The sequence below is a fragment of the Homo sapiens genome, chromosome 12, assembly GCF_000001405.40.
Source record: "Homo sapiens chromosome 12, GRCh38.p14 Primary Assembly".
Taxonomy (NCBI): Eukaryota; Metazoa; Chordata; class Mammalia; order Primates; family Hominidae; genus Homo; species Homo sapiens.
The window spans coordinates 93588173-93603739 of record NC_000012.12 but is presented as its reverse complement, the minus strand read 5'-3'; the positions used below and the strand labels follow the sequence as shown (position 1 = coordinate 93603739).

Sequence of the window (15567 nt, the reverse complement as noted above, 5' to 3'; positions counted from 1 at the left end):
TAAATTGTCAAGCATTACCCCAAATAATACTGCACTGGAAAAATACCGGGTTTCTCTGTAAAAAAGGGAACATGAGGAGGAAGACAAGGTAACTTGTAAATCTAATGGCTTTAAAAAAAATAATAAAGGTAATAATCTCTTGTTTATTTAACTTGATTGAGTCCAGTTTATCAACGAAAGTGCTTTGAGGAAACTGGACCAGATCCATGTAATAAACATCCCACCATGGATGCCATTATGGGATGTGGAAAGGTGGGAAAGAGAAGTGGTCAAAACCGTAGGCTGTAGCCTTAGGCTGTACTAACTTGGACTGGGCTTGGTTCTGCTTCTGAAGGGCTGTGTGACTTGAGGCAGAGGGCCTAACCTTTTTGAGTCTTCTTTTTCCCACCTAAAAAAATAGGGATAATAACAATGACCACTCAGTCTGAGGATTAAACAAAACAATGCATATAGCACAAGGCCCTGCACACAGTGACCCCAGGTAAGTGTTAGTGGTTTTTTTACTGTTGTTGTTAAGATTGTTGTTGCCACAGGACGGTCTGTGAAGCTAAAGGCTGCTGAGACTTAAAGGTCTGGATTTCCAGCTATTTTTTGCAAGCAATTAACTACTAAAAATAGGAGGCAGTGTTTACTCTCATAGCTTCGGGGAACAGCTACGACTTGGTCTCGGACCAAGGTTCGGCAGTGGACTAAATAGTCTGGTAACTTCCTCTTAGTTGAGCCCACATCTTGAATGGACCTCACTCCAGGGAAGTTTGGACAACCCAGTAAAGCAGGCCCAGCAGCGCTCTCTAGGCCAGGCCCTTTGTCAGCTACTTCACCTAGAAAACTACAAAGATGGAAAGGACCCAGATGACAACCTGGCTGTGAGTTGTATGAGTTCACTGACTTCTGTGTTTTCCCTGTCACCACCCTCTCCTCGCAGAGTCAAGGTGAGTATCTTAGTGGATTACAGAATGCAGGGCTCTGAGGCAGGAAAGAGCCCCCTTCTTTCCTGGGAGCTGAGAAGTGAAGGGGAGTTTTGTTACGAAGCACCCTGTGAACTGCCCTGACCATAATCCTAAGTGGTGAGTACTACCCAAATTTGAGCCACTCCTGGTCTGAAAGGCCTGGTGAAGTGGACTCAACTCTGAAATAATATCTCCCAAAGTCTCTTGTAGACCTGTCATATACCTTTGAATCTTAATTGGAAACTGGTTCCATTTCCTGGAGTACATGTGAACAGGAAGCACGTTCACACATTCTCATGCCGATATGTTGTACAGGTCACATGACTTTATACATACACATACATTCATATGTGTGGTTTTCATGTGTATGTATATGCTACAAATACTGAGGATTGGCCAGTGACAGTGGCTTATGCCTGTAATCCCAGTACCTTGAAAGGCCAAGGCAGGAGGATTGTTTGACCTCAGGAGTTCGAGAACAGCCTGAGCAACATAGTGAGACCTCGTCTCTACTAAAAATAAAAATTTTTAAAAAAGTTAGCCAGGTGGAGTGGCACACACCTGTAGTCTAGGATAAGCTGAGGCAGAAGGATTGCTTGAGCCCTGGAGATGGAGGCTTCAGGCAGCTGTGATCGCGCCACTGCACTCCAGCCTGGCCGACCCAGCAAGCCCTTGTATTTAAAAAAACAAACAAATACTAAGGACTGACATAATTCTCTTTTTCTTGTTTTTTCTTGGCCCCATCTTGCAATCTGTAATATGTCTAGAATGTGTTTGAGTCTATAGTCACACACTGTCAGTAACTGTACATGCTGATGGTCATCAGCAAGTGATATAAGGTTGTTAAATCTCTTAAAGATTTTTACTTTTGCTATATATTTTTAAAATCTTAATCTAAGTTTATGTGAAAATTTTCTAGTAAATTCAATAGAGACAGGAATAGGAAGCAGGAATAAAAAAAAGACAGTTGTATAATGCATCAAGATATTGTGCAATGTACCAAGAATGAGTGGTCATGCTTAATTTTTACCCATATATAGATACAAAAGCACTGAATAGAATCATATATCACAGAGTTTGGAAGAGAGACTTAAAGAGATTATCTAAATGCTCGTTCTTTGAGAAAACTAATAGCTACTTATAAGCAATATGAACAAATACATTTAAAAAATCCAGACTTTGGCCAGGCGCTGTGGCTCTCGCCTGTAATCCCAGCACTTTGGGAGGCTGAGGCGGGCAGATCACTTGAGTTCAGGAGTTCGAGACCAACCTGGCCAACATGGTGAAATCCAGTCTCTACAAAAAATACAACAGCCTGGCCAACATGATGAAACCCAGTCTCTACTGAAAAGCCGGCCATGGTGGTGGGCGCCTGTAATCCCAGCTACTTGGGAGGCTAAGGATGGAAAATCCCTTGAACCCAGGAGGCGGAGGTTGCAGTGAGCCGAGACCACACCGCTGCACTCCAGCTTGGGTGACAGACCAAGACTCAGTCTCAAAAAAGTAATAATAATAAATAAATAAATATGAAATTTTTAAAAACTCCAGACTCTTCAGACAAACTATTAGAATTAGTAAGAATTCAGAAAGGTCGCTGGATACAAATGAATATCCAAAAATCAATAGTGATCCCATATACCAGCACAAAACTAACAGAAGGTATATTTAAAAAAAAAAAAAAGAGAGAGAGAGAGATTCCAGCCAGGCAAGGTGGCTCACACCCATAATCCCAACACTTTCAGGGGTCGAGGCAGGAGAATAACTTGAGCGCAAGAGTTCAAGGCCAGCTTGGGCAATTTAGCAAAACCCTGTCTCTACAAAAAATTTAAAAAAATTAGTCAGGTGTGGTGATGCACAATCGTAGTCCCAGCTACTTGGGAGGCTGAAGCAAAAGGACCCCTTGAGCCCAGGAGGTTAAGTCGTCAGTGAGCCATGATCACGTCACTGCACTCCAGCCCGGGTGACAGATCAAGACCTCATCTCTAAAAAAAAAAAAATGAAAATAATAAATAATAAAATGTTTTATTTAATCAAAATTTTAAAAGATTCCATTAACAATAGTAAAAAAAAAAAACTTTACGTAACTTATAAACAGATTTAACAAAGGAAATACAAGATCATTATGAAGTGAAGCTTGATTGAGGTACATAAAAAAATCTCTATAAATGAAAGGATATTCATGTTCATGTATGGGATGGAAAAGCTCAAAGATGGCAATTGTTTTCAGATTAATCTATAAATTCATTGTAATTACAATTAAAATCTATACATTTTCCCATCACAGCATTTGACAAGTTGATCCTTAAGCTAGTATCAAAGAGTAAAGAATCAAAAATGGCCAAGATAACACAGAAGAATAAACAAAAACCACTCACCACACTAGATAGCAAAGTTATTATAAAGCTATAGTAATTACAAAAGAATGGCACTGGTGTGGAGACGGACAAATAGAAGAGCAGAACAGAATAGTGAGCTCATAAACAGACCCATGCTTATGGAAAACTTGATATATTACAAAGGTAACATTAAAAATCAGTAGGGAAAGGAAAAGACTGTTCAATAAGTGGTACTGGGTTAGTTCATTTTCCATAAAGAAAAGAAAAATAATTTTTTTTAAATCTATACCTTTATCTCCATTTATTAATTTTTTTTTCAGGTGAATTCAACAACTAAAGTGAAAAGCACAACTTGAATATATTTATGACAGGGTAGGAAAACACAAAATGTAAAGAATAAGATTGGTAAATCTGACTACAGTAATATTGTAAATGTAAAGCATTACTTTAAACAGTGAAAAGACAAGCTAAAACTGGAAGACAAAATTATTTCAGTGCATGTCTTAGTCCATTTTGTGTTGCTATAACACAATACCTGAGGCAGGGTAACATATGAAGAATTTTATTTCTCACACTTCTATGGGCTGGGAAATCTAATATCTAGGTGCCAGCATCTGGCAAGGGCCTTCTTGCTACATCATCTTACAGTAGAAGGCAAAAGAGCAAGACAGCATGCATGTGCAAGAGAGCAAGAGAAAGCCAAACTTGCTTTTATAACAAACCCACTCTTGAAATAATAAACTCGCTCTCATTATAACTACATTAATCCATTTAAGAAGGCAGAGCCCTCATGACCTAATCATCTATTAAAGGTCCCACCTCTCCTCAACACTGTTGCACTGGGGATTAACTCTGGGGGATACATTCAAACCACAGTAGTGCATAAAAGCCAACAAAGGTTTTTTCAATGTATATATCAATGCTTAAAATCCAACGAAGGATTGTTTACCTGGAATATGTAAAGAAATCCTATAACTCAAAAAGAATAAACAGCCTGGGCACAGTGGCTCATGCCTGTAATCCTAGCGCTTTGGGAGGCCAAAGTGGGAGGATCACTTGAGGCCAGGAATTCAAGACCAGCCTGGGCAACATTGCAAGACCCCATCTATACAAATAAAAATTAAAATTAAAAACTAGCCAGGAGTGGTGGTGCATGCCTGTAGTTCCAGCCACTTGGGAGGCTGGGGCAGGAGGATTGCTTGAGCCTGAGTTTGAAGTTACCGTAAGCACTTCACCCTGGACCACAAAGTGAGACCCTGTCTCAAAAAAAAAAAAAAAAAAAGACAAACAGCACAACAGCAAACTGGACATAGGACAGGAATAGGAATTAGAAAAGAAATCTAAATCTAAATGGTCAAAAAAAATAGTGACTAGTAAGCAGGAAATGCAAATTATAACAATGACATATGATTTTAAATCCATCAGATCAGCAATGGTTAAAAGCTTAACACTAACTGTTGAGGAGGTGAGGAAATGGAAATTCTCATAAACAGCTAGGCACTAGGGACAATAATTGGTACAACCTCTTTGGAGAGCAATTTTGAACTATCTGACAAAGTTGACAATGAGCATATCAAAAAGACCCCAGCAATTCTATTGCTAGATATACACTCCAGAGAAACTCTAGTATCCTATCCACAAACCTCTCTATGTAAGGATGCTTTGGCAGAATTGTGTACAGGAGTAAAAAAGCTAGAATTTCTTTAACATCTACTAATAAGTAAATTAATAGATAAAGAAAATTTGTTATACTGTACTCATAGATTGGAATATACATAGCAATGAAAATGAGTTAACTTTATCTAAAAGTATCAACATAAGTAAATTTTGAAACAATGTTGAATCCTTCAGGCAAATCCAGACAGATAAATCAATATCAAGTCTTTCTATCTTAATAGAAGGTATCACCATCCCTCTGGTTGAGTTCTTCCCTGGAAAATGGAAACAGCGTCCTAACTCTTCTCACTTGAATGCCTTTTATGCCATCCCCTATATCATAACTATGGCATGACCCTGCTTATACCTTTCAATGGCTTCCCACTGCAGCCTTAATAAAACCCAAACTCCTCGGTGCCATCTCTTTGGTCCTTCCTAATCTCCCCCTCTCCTCCCACCTTCACCTTCTACCCCTCTGAGCTCATCTCCTACTTCCTCCCTGGAGTCTACACTGTTCCAGCCACATTGTGCTTGTTGCCCTTCCTTGTACAAACCAAACTCATCCTTACGTTAAGGCATCAACACTTGCTCTTCCTTCTCATCAATCAGGTTTTGATCGAAAACACAGTATCGTCAGCAACGTGTTTCCTCGGTGCCCTGCCAATCCCCTCACTTCCCCACTTTCCCTGCCAGTCTGATATCCTATATTATCATTTTCACACAGTTACAGATGCCTGCAATTATCTCATGTATTCAAATGTTTACATATTTAGAACAAAAGATTTGCCTTGTTCACTACCATATTCCTGAGGTCTAGCACACAGTAGGCACTCAATATATATTTGTTGACTTATGTGAATTTTTAAAACCTACAAAGCTAAACTACATAGTGTTTGTAGACACCTAGTTATGCAGTGAAACAGAAAAAACATGGACAGGAAGGATATACAATAACTTTTGGGTAGAGTTTATCTCTAGGGAGGGTAGGAGGTCAGTAGGGTCAAAAAGTAGGACAAAGATGCCTTAAAATAAATCAGCAAAGGAAGTACAACAATATTTATTAAATCTGGCTATCTGTTATGGCTGAGTGGTGATTACATAAGTATTGTTACAATATTCCCTGTACTTTTCTGATGAGCTATTTCATAATACAAAAAATTATTTTTTAAAAGCGAGATTTGAGTTCGGGCATGGCGGCTCACACCTGTAATCTCAGCACTTTGGGAGTCTGAGGTGGGTGGATCGCTTGAGGTCACGAGTTTGAGACCAGCCTGGCCAACATGGCAAAGCCCCATCTCTACTGAAAATACAGAAATTAGGCGGGTGTGGTGGCGCACAACTGTAGTCCAAGCTACTCAGGAGGCTGAGGCAGGAGAATTGCTTGAACCCAGGAGAAGGAGGTTTTGCAGTGAGCTGAGATCATGCCTGGGCAACAGAGCAAGACTGTGTCTCAAAAAAAAAAGGGATTTGAAATGATAAAATTATAGTGATAGGTAACAAATCAGCAGCTGCAAAGGGTTAGGAATGTGGGAGTCACTATAAATGGGTAGCACAAAGGAGATCTTTGTAATGATAGTTCTGTATCCTGATTTCAGTGGTGGTTACGCCAATCTACAGGTAATAAAATGGCACAGAACTACACAAACACTTTATACCAAGATCAGTTTTCTGGTTTACTTGTGCTATAGTTACAAAAGATGTAGCCAACCACTGGGGGGAAACTGGGTGACAGGTACACAGGCCTTCTCTGTACTATCTCCACAACTTCCTTTGAGATCTATAATTCTTTTGAAATTTTTAAAAATGTGTTCTTTTAAAGGAGAGATATAGACCACATGAAATAATACTTCTATTTTACAGATGAGACAAGTGAGGCCCCCAAGAAGAAAGACAATTTGTAGTAGGTGGTGGAGGGTGCAGGGCAGAAAGGCCTGCAGAACCTGCAGCTTTGTTGTTGTTGTTGTTTGTTTGAGACAGGGTCTTGCTCCGTCTCCCAGTCTAGAGTGCAGTGGTGTAATCTTGGCTCACTGCAACCTCCAGCTCCCAGGTTCAAGCAATTCTCATGCCTCAGCCTCTCAAGTAGCTGAGATTACAGGCGCAGGCCAACACGCCCAGCTAATTTTTGTATTTTTAGTAGAGACGGAGTTTTGCCATATTAGCCAGGCTGGTCTCAAACTCCTGGCTTCATGTGATCTGCCCGCCTCAGCCTCCCAAAGTGCTGGGATTACAGGTGTGAGTCACTGTGCCCAGCCCCTGCAGTTTCCTTTGAACATTCAAGAGATCAAATGCATGGGCCTGGGTCTCTTGGTAGTCTTATCTTAGGAATCTGATATAACCATGACTTCCCAGTTAGTAACTCAGGCTGCATGGCATAGCTTAAGATCCCAAATATTAAATATTAAATCAGGTATTAAAATCAGATAAGCTGATTCAAATCTCGGCTCTGCCACTTAGTAAAGGGATGCCTTTCTACTTTAACCTTCTTTGAGCCTCAGTTTCTTCATCTGCAAAATGTAAACAGACTATGTGGTTTCATGCCAAGCATGGTGTTATGGGGATTAAATCAAATAATGTATGTAAAGTGCATGGCATAAAATTTGGCAAGAGTAAGCACTCAACTAAAAGTCAAGAAACACAGCCTAATACCTGTGAAATAAACCCAAATATGTCTATTATTGATCCCAAGGATTCTCCTACACACTGTCCTATCCAACCATTTAACAATCAGGTTTCCATGCTAGGTGAAATGTGAAAGTTCTGAGAAGTATTAAATTGTGAGTAAGTAGGAACAGGGGCAAACACAGGGGTGAGGCAAATTCAATAAAATTATGACTGTTTTTGCCCTCTATTTGCTACTGGAAAGTAGCTGGAAGAATCACATAAAAAAAAATTAAAAACAAATTAATAAATTTAAAAATAAATTACAAAACAAAAAGACCAGAAAAGAAAGTAAAGTAAAATAAAATAAAACAGCTCATTTTGTTGATGTGACTCTGTAGACTACAATAAGGGATAATCACAAATTAAATGCCTCCCAAAAATGTAGACTCTATTAGATTAACCAAACACAAAGTCAAAAATAGCTATATAACTTGAAGCTCTCAAAAACTACAGGAAGACTATAGATGGTGGTTGTTTAAAATTAAAAAGAAAAAGGAGAGCACGTCTTTTCTTTTGGTCATGAACTAACTGAATTTAACACGAATGAAAGCAGATTTAATCTGTGAGAGGAGAAGGAGCAGGCTCTACTTTCAGTTGGCCGAAGAAAAGCATTCCAGCTCTAGGGGCACAAACACATGCAAGAAATGTGAGACTCAATTTATTTCTCAAAAGGTACATTAAAGTTGACAACAAACTGGCCTGGAATTCTGAAATCAGAACAACAAAGAAGGGTAGAAAGATTGGTCTTTCAACTGAATTTATAGTGACTGGATCTGCAATTTATCTTCAGAAACACGTAAGTCAGGTATCTAAAAGGGGGAAAAAATTCTAAAATGTACCTCCTTTTTAAAAATTAAATCATAAAATTAGTTAAAATATGTGAAGCATTTCCTAAAGTTAACTATCAGTGTGGAACTCAGTAAAATAAATGTCTACTAGAAAAAGAAAAAGCTGAGCATATTTTATTTTCAGTAACGAGTAAGACTCCAAAAGCAAAATCACCCCCCGTCCCCTCACAAATGCTTTTAAGTCGGCAATACTTATGACAAAAAGAGATTGTTTCATTTTGGCAAGATTTTAAGTACCCTAATAAATCTAAGTGTAATACCCATCACATAGTTTACAAACGTAAGGAAGTCAAGGCAATAAAAGAACTCTCAATAAATCCCTACTTTCAAAGTATTGCTGACAAGAGGAATTGGTACCCTATGTTTTGAATTGGATTATTCAATTCGATGTATTAACAAAATGTAGTAAAAACTAGTTCATGTACTGGTTATGTAACCATAAAATTCTTGGTTAATTCTTATTTAAAACACAAAGATCAATGACCTACAAATTCATTTCTTTCCCTGAACTCCCAGTGTTCGAGAGCTGATATTCCCTGACAAACTCCCTTACATAACATTCTTTCTAGTAATGTGGGTCAAACATATATTTATATTATCAGCTGTCAGAACAGAGTTCTCTACAATAAATAAATTCTATACTAATTATCCAGGAAAAACAAGAATTATATCTAAAGAAACAAAGTGAAAATAATAAAAGGAACATGGAGATTTCTTGATTTGGAAAACAAAAATGGAAAAATCCTATCAAGGCCATTAGCAAATTGTTAATTAAATGACACATTTGAGAAAGAATATCTTCTAAAGTCTTAATGGACTCAAAAAATTAAAAGAGTTAGGCAATAGAAATTTAATAGTTAAGAAACATCTTCATTTCACTTTTTAAAAGCTTTTTTACAGAATATGTAAAGAGCTGTAAAAATGAAAGTACTATAATATTGAAGGTCAACTTGAGTCAAAATAAGAAAAGGAGCCTCAGAGTTCAGCTCAACTGTTCTATTGCAATTTTCTATTTTGACATTCTCTGCATTATCCTTAAATTTAAATACATTATTAACTTGAATTCATTGTCTTCTGAATTGGGATTATAAAAATGGATGTGTGTGAAGTGTTAAAAACAACCTGAACTGAGAAACCGATTTGTTCTTCCCTTTTTATTTCAAAAAACAATTTATTTTTGAATTTCTAAAGCAAATAATCATAATCCCCCAGGTGCTTCCTGTCAGTTGTGAACATTCTATTTGGGGACATCATGGAACTGCACATTTTGCCTCCCCTCTCTTCCTGCTGGCTTGTAATGTGTTATGGAAACACTGATTTGAAATTAAGAGTTTTGATTAAACAGGTTTTCTACGCTCTTGATTTATTTCCTTTATTTTAAGGCAGATGCCTCTGTATGGTAACAGTAGCTTACAAAGCCAAAGGGATTCAGACTTTAAATGGGAAATTTATTTTATTTTATTTTAGCGTGGTTCGGTTTGATTTTTGTTTGTTTGTTTTCCTTTTTGCTGACACCCAGATCTTATTCTGACTTGACTTGGCTTCATTTAAGATGAGTTTTCAGGATGAGTGGGCTTGGTCTTACTAGGGTTATTTTCCAGATAAGCAGGTAATTTGGGAAATAAAATACTTGTAAAAGTCCTGTAATTCCCAAAAAGTTGGCTATAATCTAAAAGGTAATTGGGATGCTACTATGATCATTTATAAACAATTTAATAGCAATGTGAACCACATGTTTTTTGAAACATATCTTGGTATCTGGCTTCATCTGTAATAGGTCTTACCTATACAAATCTAAATTAAAATTTGATTTTAATTTAATTCTAATATCTAATTTATTTCTGTTCCTTGTATATGTAAATCAAGGTCAAGTTGCTTCCAGTATCTCAGGCTGAGCCCTATTTGTTTGCTTTTCTTAAACCTCCTTCTCTAACCATAAAAGCTCTCTCTTCTGGAGCTTTAAAGAAGATGCTGTGTTTCTGAGTAGGCGGAGAGCTTTAGGCATTTGGGAGTCATAGCAGATCAGCTATCCCACTGGAGGCAGGATCTAGATATAGAGTCGGGTCAGCGTGATAATAATCTTAGGCAAAGCTAATTCCCTCTCCAGAACCACCTTCCAGTTGTAGGAAATCAGTTTCATTGTTCCTAGAACTGGCCACCCAATCTGGTGTCAGGAGTGGGTGCAGAGGATAACTGGTATGAAAAGAAACAAACACAAAAGGGGAGAGAGAAGGCAGGAAACCAGGATAAGGGGACAGAGAGTAGGGAACTGGAGAAACTTTTACTATAGTTGTGCTTAATCGATGTCCTTTGAACAGAACTAATTGAAGATGATATTATTACACATACCAAAAAAAAAAAAAAAAAAAAAGCTTTCTCAGTCCTACCCTAGGGTTTTTAAAGACAGCTGTCTATGAAGCCACAGTCAAGGCATAGAGCCATGTGCCTGTCCCATAGCTGTGAATGTCTCTGATCAAGGCTGGGACGAAGTTGTTGAGGCCTTTCCACTAGGTTTCTCAGACATCTTTTCTAGAATAGAGATTTAACTTCAAGGGCAATTAATTAGCAAATAAACAAGTTTATTCGATCTCAATGGAAAATATGCTGTTTAAAAATGAACAGTATTTTAAGGAAAACCCTCAGCTATGTGTACAACTTGAAAGACAGAATTTATTTCCATCTGAAATATGCATGGGAACAACCTTTTGGGAATGTGATTTGAAAGTAAATATCTATTAAAATGTTAAGTGCCATGTACCCTTGGGCCCCAAAGTTCCACTTCTAAGAATGTACTCAACATATATGTTCCCATAAGCACACAGCAACAATTAGCACACAGATTTGTACCGCACCGTTGTTTGTAATAGCACGAAACTGGGAACAACCTGTATATCCACTAGCAGGAGACTGATTCAATCAGTAATGGTACATTCATATCATGGAATATTGTGCAGCTGTTGAAAAGAATGAGGCAAAGCCTTATGTTGCCATGAAGATATAAATAGATATATAGAGAGAAAGGTAGACATAGAGAGTCCAAATATTAAATTTTAAAAGCAAATTGCAGAGCAGAAAGTATAGTACAATAATATTTGTGTGTGCTTTAAAACATGATTTAAATAGAGGCTTCGACTGCATTAAAAAAATTCTGGAACAATAAAAAGGAAACTTTTAATAATAGTTACCTCTGGGGAGTGGGACGGGAGTTGGACAATTTTTTCATTTTGTGCACTTCTGAACTGACTAAATTTTGAACCATGAGCATGTTATCACTTTTAGAATAATTGAAAAACTAGCTCCTAAGAAGAGGTTGTATTTACCCTGCATTAACAAAAACAAAAGGGATGCTCTTATCTGGGACAATCTATAGAAGCCACATCCCTGGCCACATTCTCATATACGGTCTAGTGAGACCCTTAAGACTACGTGAAAAGATTAAAATAACCCATGAGATATGCGGCAAAAACATTGCACCCAGCCGTCTGCTCTCAATACCACACTCATCTGGTGCGCTTCCAAAGTGAAACGCCTTGACGTTGGTCAGCCTGTGACCGGCTCCTTGCTGCCGACGCTGGGTTACATAAGGTCCTGGGAGACCCGAGCGGCGCCCCGGACGCGTCTGGGAGGAGCCGCCACGCCACAGCTCCGTGGGGCTCCGCACTCTACCCTGGCCACAGACAAAAAGAACTTCTGCTGCATCACCCCGTGGCGCCAGGATCACTTCCCTCTTGAGAGACAGTGTGTGCACATCGTAGACGCTAGAGCCAGCCCCTGCAGGAACTCCGTTTGAAAATTCTTCAAGGAGAAATAACCGAAACTCTGAGATTCCTCTTGCCGCAGACAGACAGACAGACAGCCACACACGAACGCACACACGCTTTCTCCTCGCTCCCATCTTGTTCATTCTCCCTTAACTAGTTCCTAGAAATATCTAGCCGGGCTAATTCATTTCCGTTCCTTGTATATGTAAATCAAGGTCAAGTCGCTTCCAGTATCTCGGGCTGAGCCTTGTTTTTTTTTTTTTGTTTGTTCGTTTGTTTTTTTTTTAAAAAACACCTCCCTTTCTAACCATAAAAGCTCTCTCTTCTGGCGCTTCATTAGCCTAGTGATTAAATGTCAAGTCTCCCGAACAAGCTGGATTTGAAGGTCTGTAACGTAACTACTTCTTCCAAATCGAAAATGTTTACTCTCCTAAAATTTATATTTCAATAAAGCGTTAAAAAAAATTAGTCATTTTGTTCCAAGAGTGTTCGGAGGCTAAACTGCACTGCCAACAAGTAAAAACTTGTTATCCAGACCATTAGTGTTAAGGGAAAAGCCAGTAAGTTTAAAGAAAAAGTAACTCATCATATTACCAGGTAATCACTCTCATTTCTTCACTAACAATACCTAATTTGCTCTTCAAATAATTATAATATAAATGAAGAAAAGGATTGTACTTTTCATGTGTACACTGGGAAGCTAACTTTTTTTTTTTTTTTTTTTTTTTTTTTTTTTTTTTTTTTGAGGCGGAGTCTTGCTCTGTCGCCCAGGCTGGAGTGCAGTGGCGCCATCTCGGCTCTGCCTGCTGGGTTCAAGCGATTCTTTCTGCCTCAGCCTCCGGAGTAGCTGGGATTACAGGCACGTGCCACCACGCCCAGCTAATTTTTGTATTTTTAGTAGAGACAGGTTTCACCATGTTGGCCAGGATGGTCTCGATCTCCTGACCTCGTGATCCGCCCACTTCGGCCTCCCAAAGTGCTGGGATTACAGGCCTGAGCCACCACGCCCATACGGGAAGCTAACTTTTAATAGTTCGTTTCTCCTAAACTCTGCTCTCCTCTCCAAAAAAACTGTTCTTGTTAGAACAGTAAACAGCAATCAGACTCAAATTAATCCCAGAGTAGTCTCTCTGGTTACCAGATTGAGAAATGTTATTGGAAAATAAAAGGGAAAAAGTGCCTTTTTCTAAAATCTTGGGTGCTAGTCTTGCGTCGGTAGCTAAAACTGTATTTTACTGTATCAGTAATGCTTAAAAGTCCAAATACAGTACTTGCTTATTCTTTTTTTTTTTTGAGACTGAGTCTCGCTCTGTCACCCAGTCTGGAGTGCAGTGGCGCGATCTCAGCTTACTACAACCTCCACCTACCGGGTTCAAGCCTCCTGAGTAGCTGAGATTATAGGCGCGCACCACCACACCAGGCCAATTTTTGTATTTTTGGTAGAGATGGAGTTTCATCGTGTTGGTCAGGCTGGTCTCGAACTCCTGACCTCATGATCCGCTCACCTTGGCCTCCCAAAGTGCTGGGATTACAGGCGTGAGCCACCACACCCGGCCTGGAAGGTCCATCTCAACAATCCAGTACTTTGTCAACCATCTCAGCTTTGCCACTAATGGAAGTGCTGTTAACAGCCCTCAAAACTGAAGTTCCTTTATTTCTTCTGCCACTTGAGAAAAAGTTTTGCCACAAAGTTCTAATAACACTAAGTCCCTACAAATCAACTTGGAAACGTCTACATGTGTTTCTCCTGGAAAAAGTGCCAGACATCAGTTTTATCTGGCAATCATCAAAATACATCAGACTGCAAATCTATATGTTCCTGGACCTCATAAGAAGCACAGTGAGGAATTTCAGCAAGCGAACCAAAGTACTAAGCTACACTGCAACATCTGCAGTCTACAACATGGGCAACAATACTGACATCAACCACTGCTGCCAAGAACATGCAACAGCAAACAAAACAAAACAAAAACAAACAAAAAAAGGGAATGGGGACATTTCAAATCCATATTCTCAATTTCTGGCTTAAGATTACAGCATTATTTAACCCACCATCACTAAACTCACTTTAATAAAAACAATCAGGAAGCCCAAGCATATGGATTTTTTTATTTGCACATTTTGTATTATTTTATGAGAAGACAAATGATAGAACCCATGGGAATTTAAAAAAAAAATTCCCAGAATGTCAAGGTTGGTATAATTTCTGTAACTAGAATATGGTGTACATGGTGACCTCAAAACAGGAAATGCCTTTGAAATCTATCAGTCATGTATTCAACATCAACTGTGAAAAATATATGATGGGGTCGCAGACTGCAAGGCACTGCCTGCCCAGAATCTGCAGTCTAGCTGGAGAAGATAACACTAAAAGAGTTGAGAAAGGTGTAGGACTGGCAGGCACAGAGGAGGGAAGCAAAGGATGGATGTTTTCCGTGTTTTAAACCATGCTGTACGGTAAATAATGATAGCACTGGGAAGAAAGGAACACATGTGGCAAGCATAAGCATTCTGCTCCAGCCAGAAAACTGCTGGAGGAAATGGGGTCTATGCGTACCCCTACCCCTGCTTTATGTCCCTGATCTATCAACAAATTCACTCTGTCAGGCCAGGCGCGGTGGCTCACGCCTGTAATCCCAGCACTTTGGGAGGCCGAGGCGGGTGGATCACCTGAGGTCAGGAGTTCAAGACCAGCCTGGCCAACATGGCAAAACCCCTTCTCCACTAAAAATAAAAAAAAAAAATTAGCTAGGCTTGGTGGTGCATGCCTGTAGTCCCAGATACTTGGAAGGCTGAGACAGGAGAATTGCTTGAACCTGGGAGGTGGAGATTGCAGTGAGCCAAGAACATGCCATTGCAGTCTAGTCTCTGGGCAACAGAGCGAGACTCTGGCTCAAAAAAAAAAAAAAAAATTCACTGTCTCCAGAATTTCTCACAAATTCTTCCAACTCCTCTTCCTCCTTCTCCCCATCGCTGCCTTAGGCTACACTGACCTCCTCAACGATCACGTTCCTTTGGTGATGTGAGTTTTGACTCACATCCTCTGGTGTGTTGAGTTTTGACTTTTTTTATGGACCCCTTCTCAGAATACTGTGCTTAAATCATAAAATAAAAACAAAAGATACATTATATTAAAATGTAAATATCAAATTATTTTTTATATTTGTCACACAGTTATATATGTTCTTTATTAATTCATTAAGTAACAATTTATGGCAGTGAGTCTAATATCTATAATAATTTCAGTTTAGTGATAAGTGTAAAAGATATTTTGAAATACCTACAACAACTGTAATATGCTATCAGAGCATTTCTACTGGTGATAAACTCACATCTTCTGTTAATTCTACTGTGA

The 15567-nt window shown here is 38.9% G+C and overlaps 1 protein-coding gene across 1 annotated transcript in view, besides 1 other annotated feature; it reads right to left on the bottom strand.

Annotated features, from left to right (window-relative positions):
* The window catches only part of SOCS2 (suppressor of cytokine signaling 2), a 56268-nt gene that overhangs the window by 22497 nt on the left and 18204 nt on the right, over nucleotides 1-15567 (bottom strand). The window lies entirely within an intron of this gene.
* Nucleotides 12060-12619: an enhancer, noted in NCBI's record as "H3K27ac-H3K4me1 hESC enhancer chr12:93984897-93985456 (GRCh37/hg19 assembly coordinates)". NCBI's record gives its function as "activates a minimal SCP1, AML or CMV promoter by ChIP-STARR-seq in naive H9 embryonic stem cells {active_cell/tissue: H9 hESC(naive)}" and the evidence as "EXISTENCE:reporter gene assay evidence [ECO:0000049][PMID:30033119]".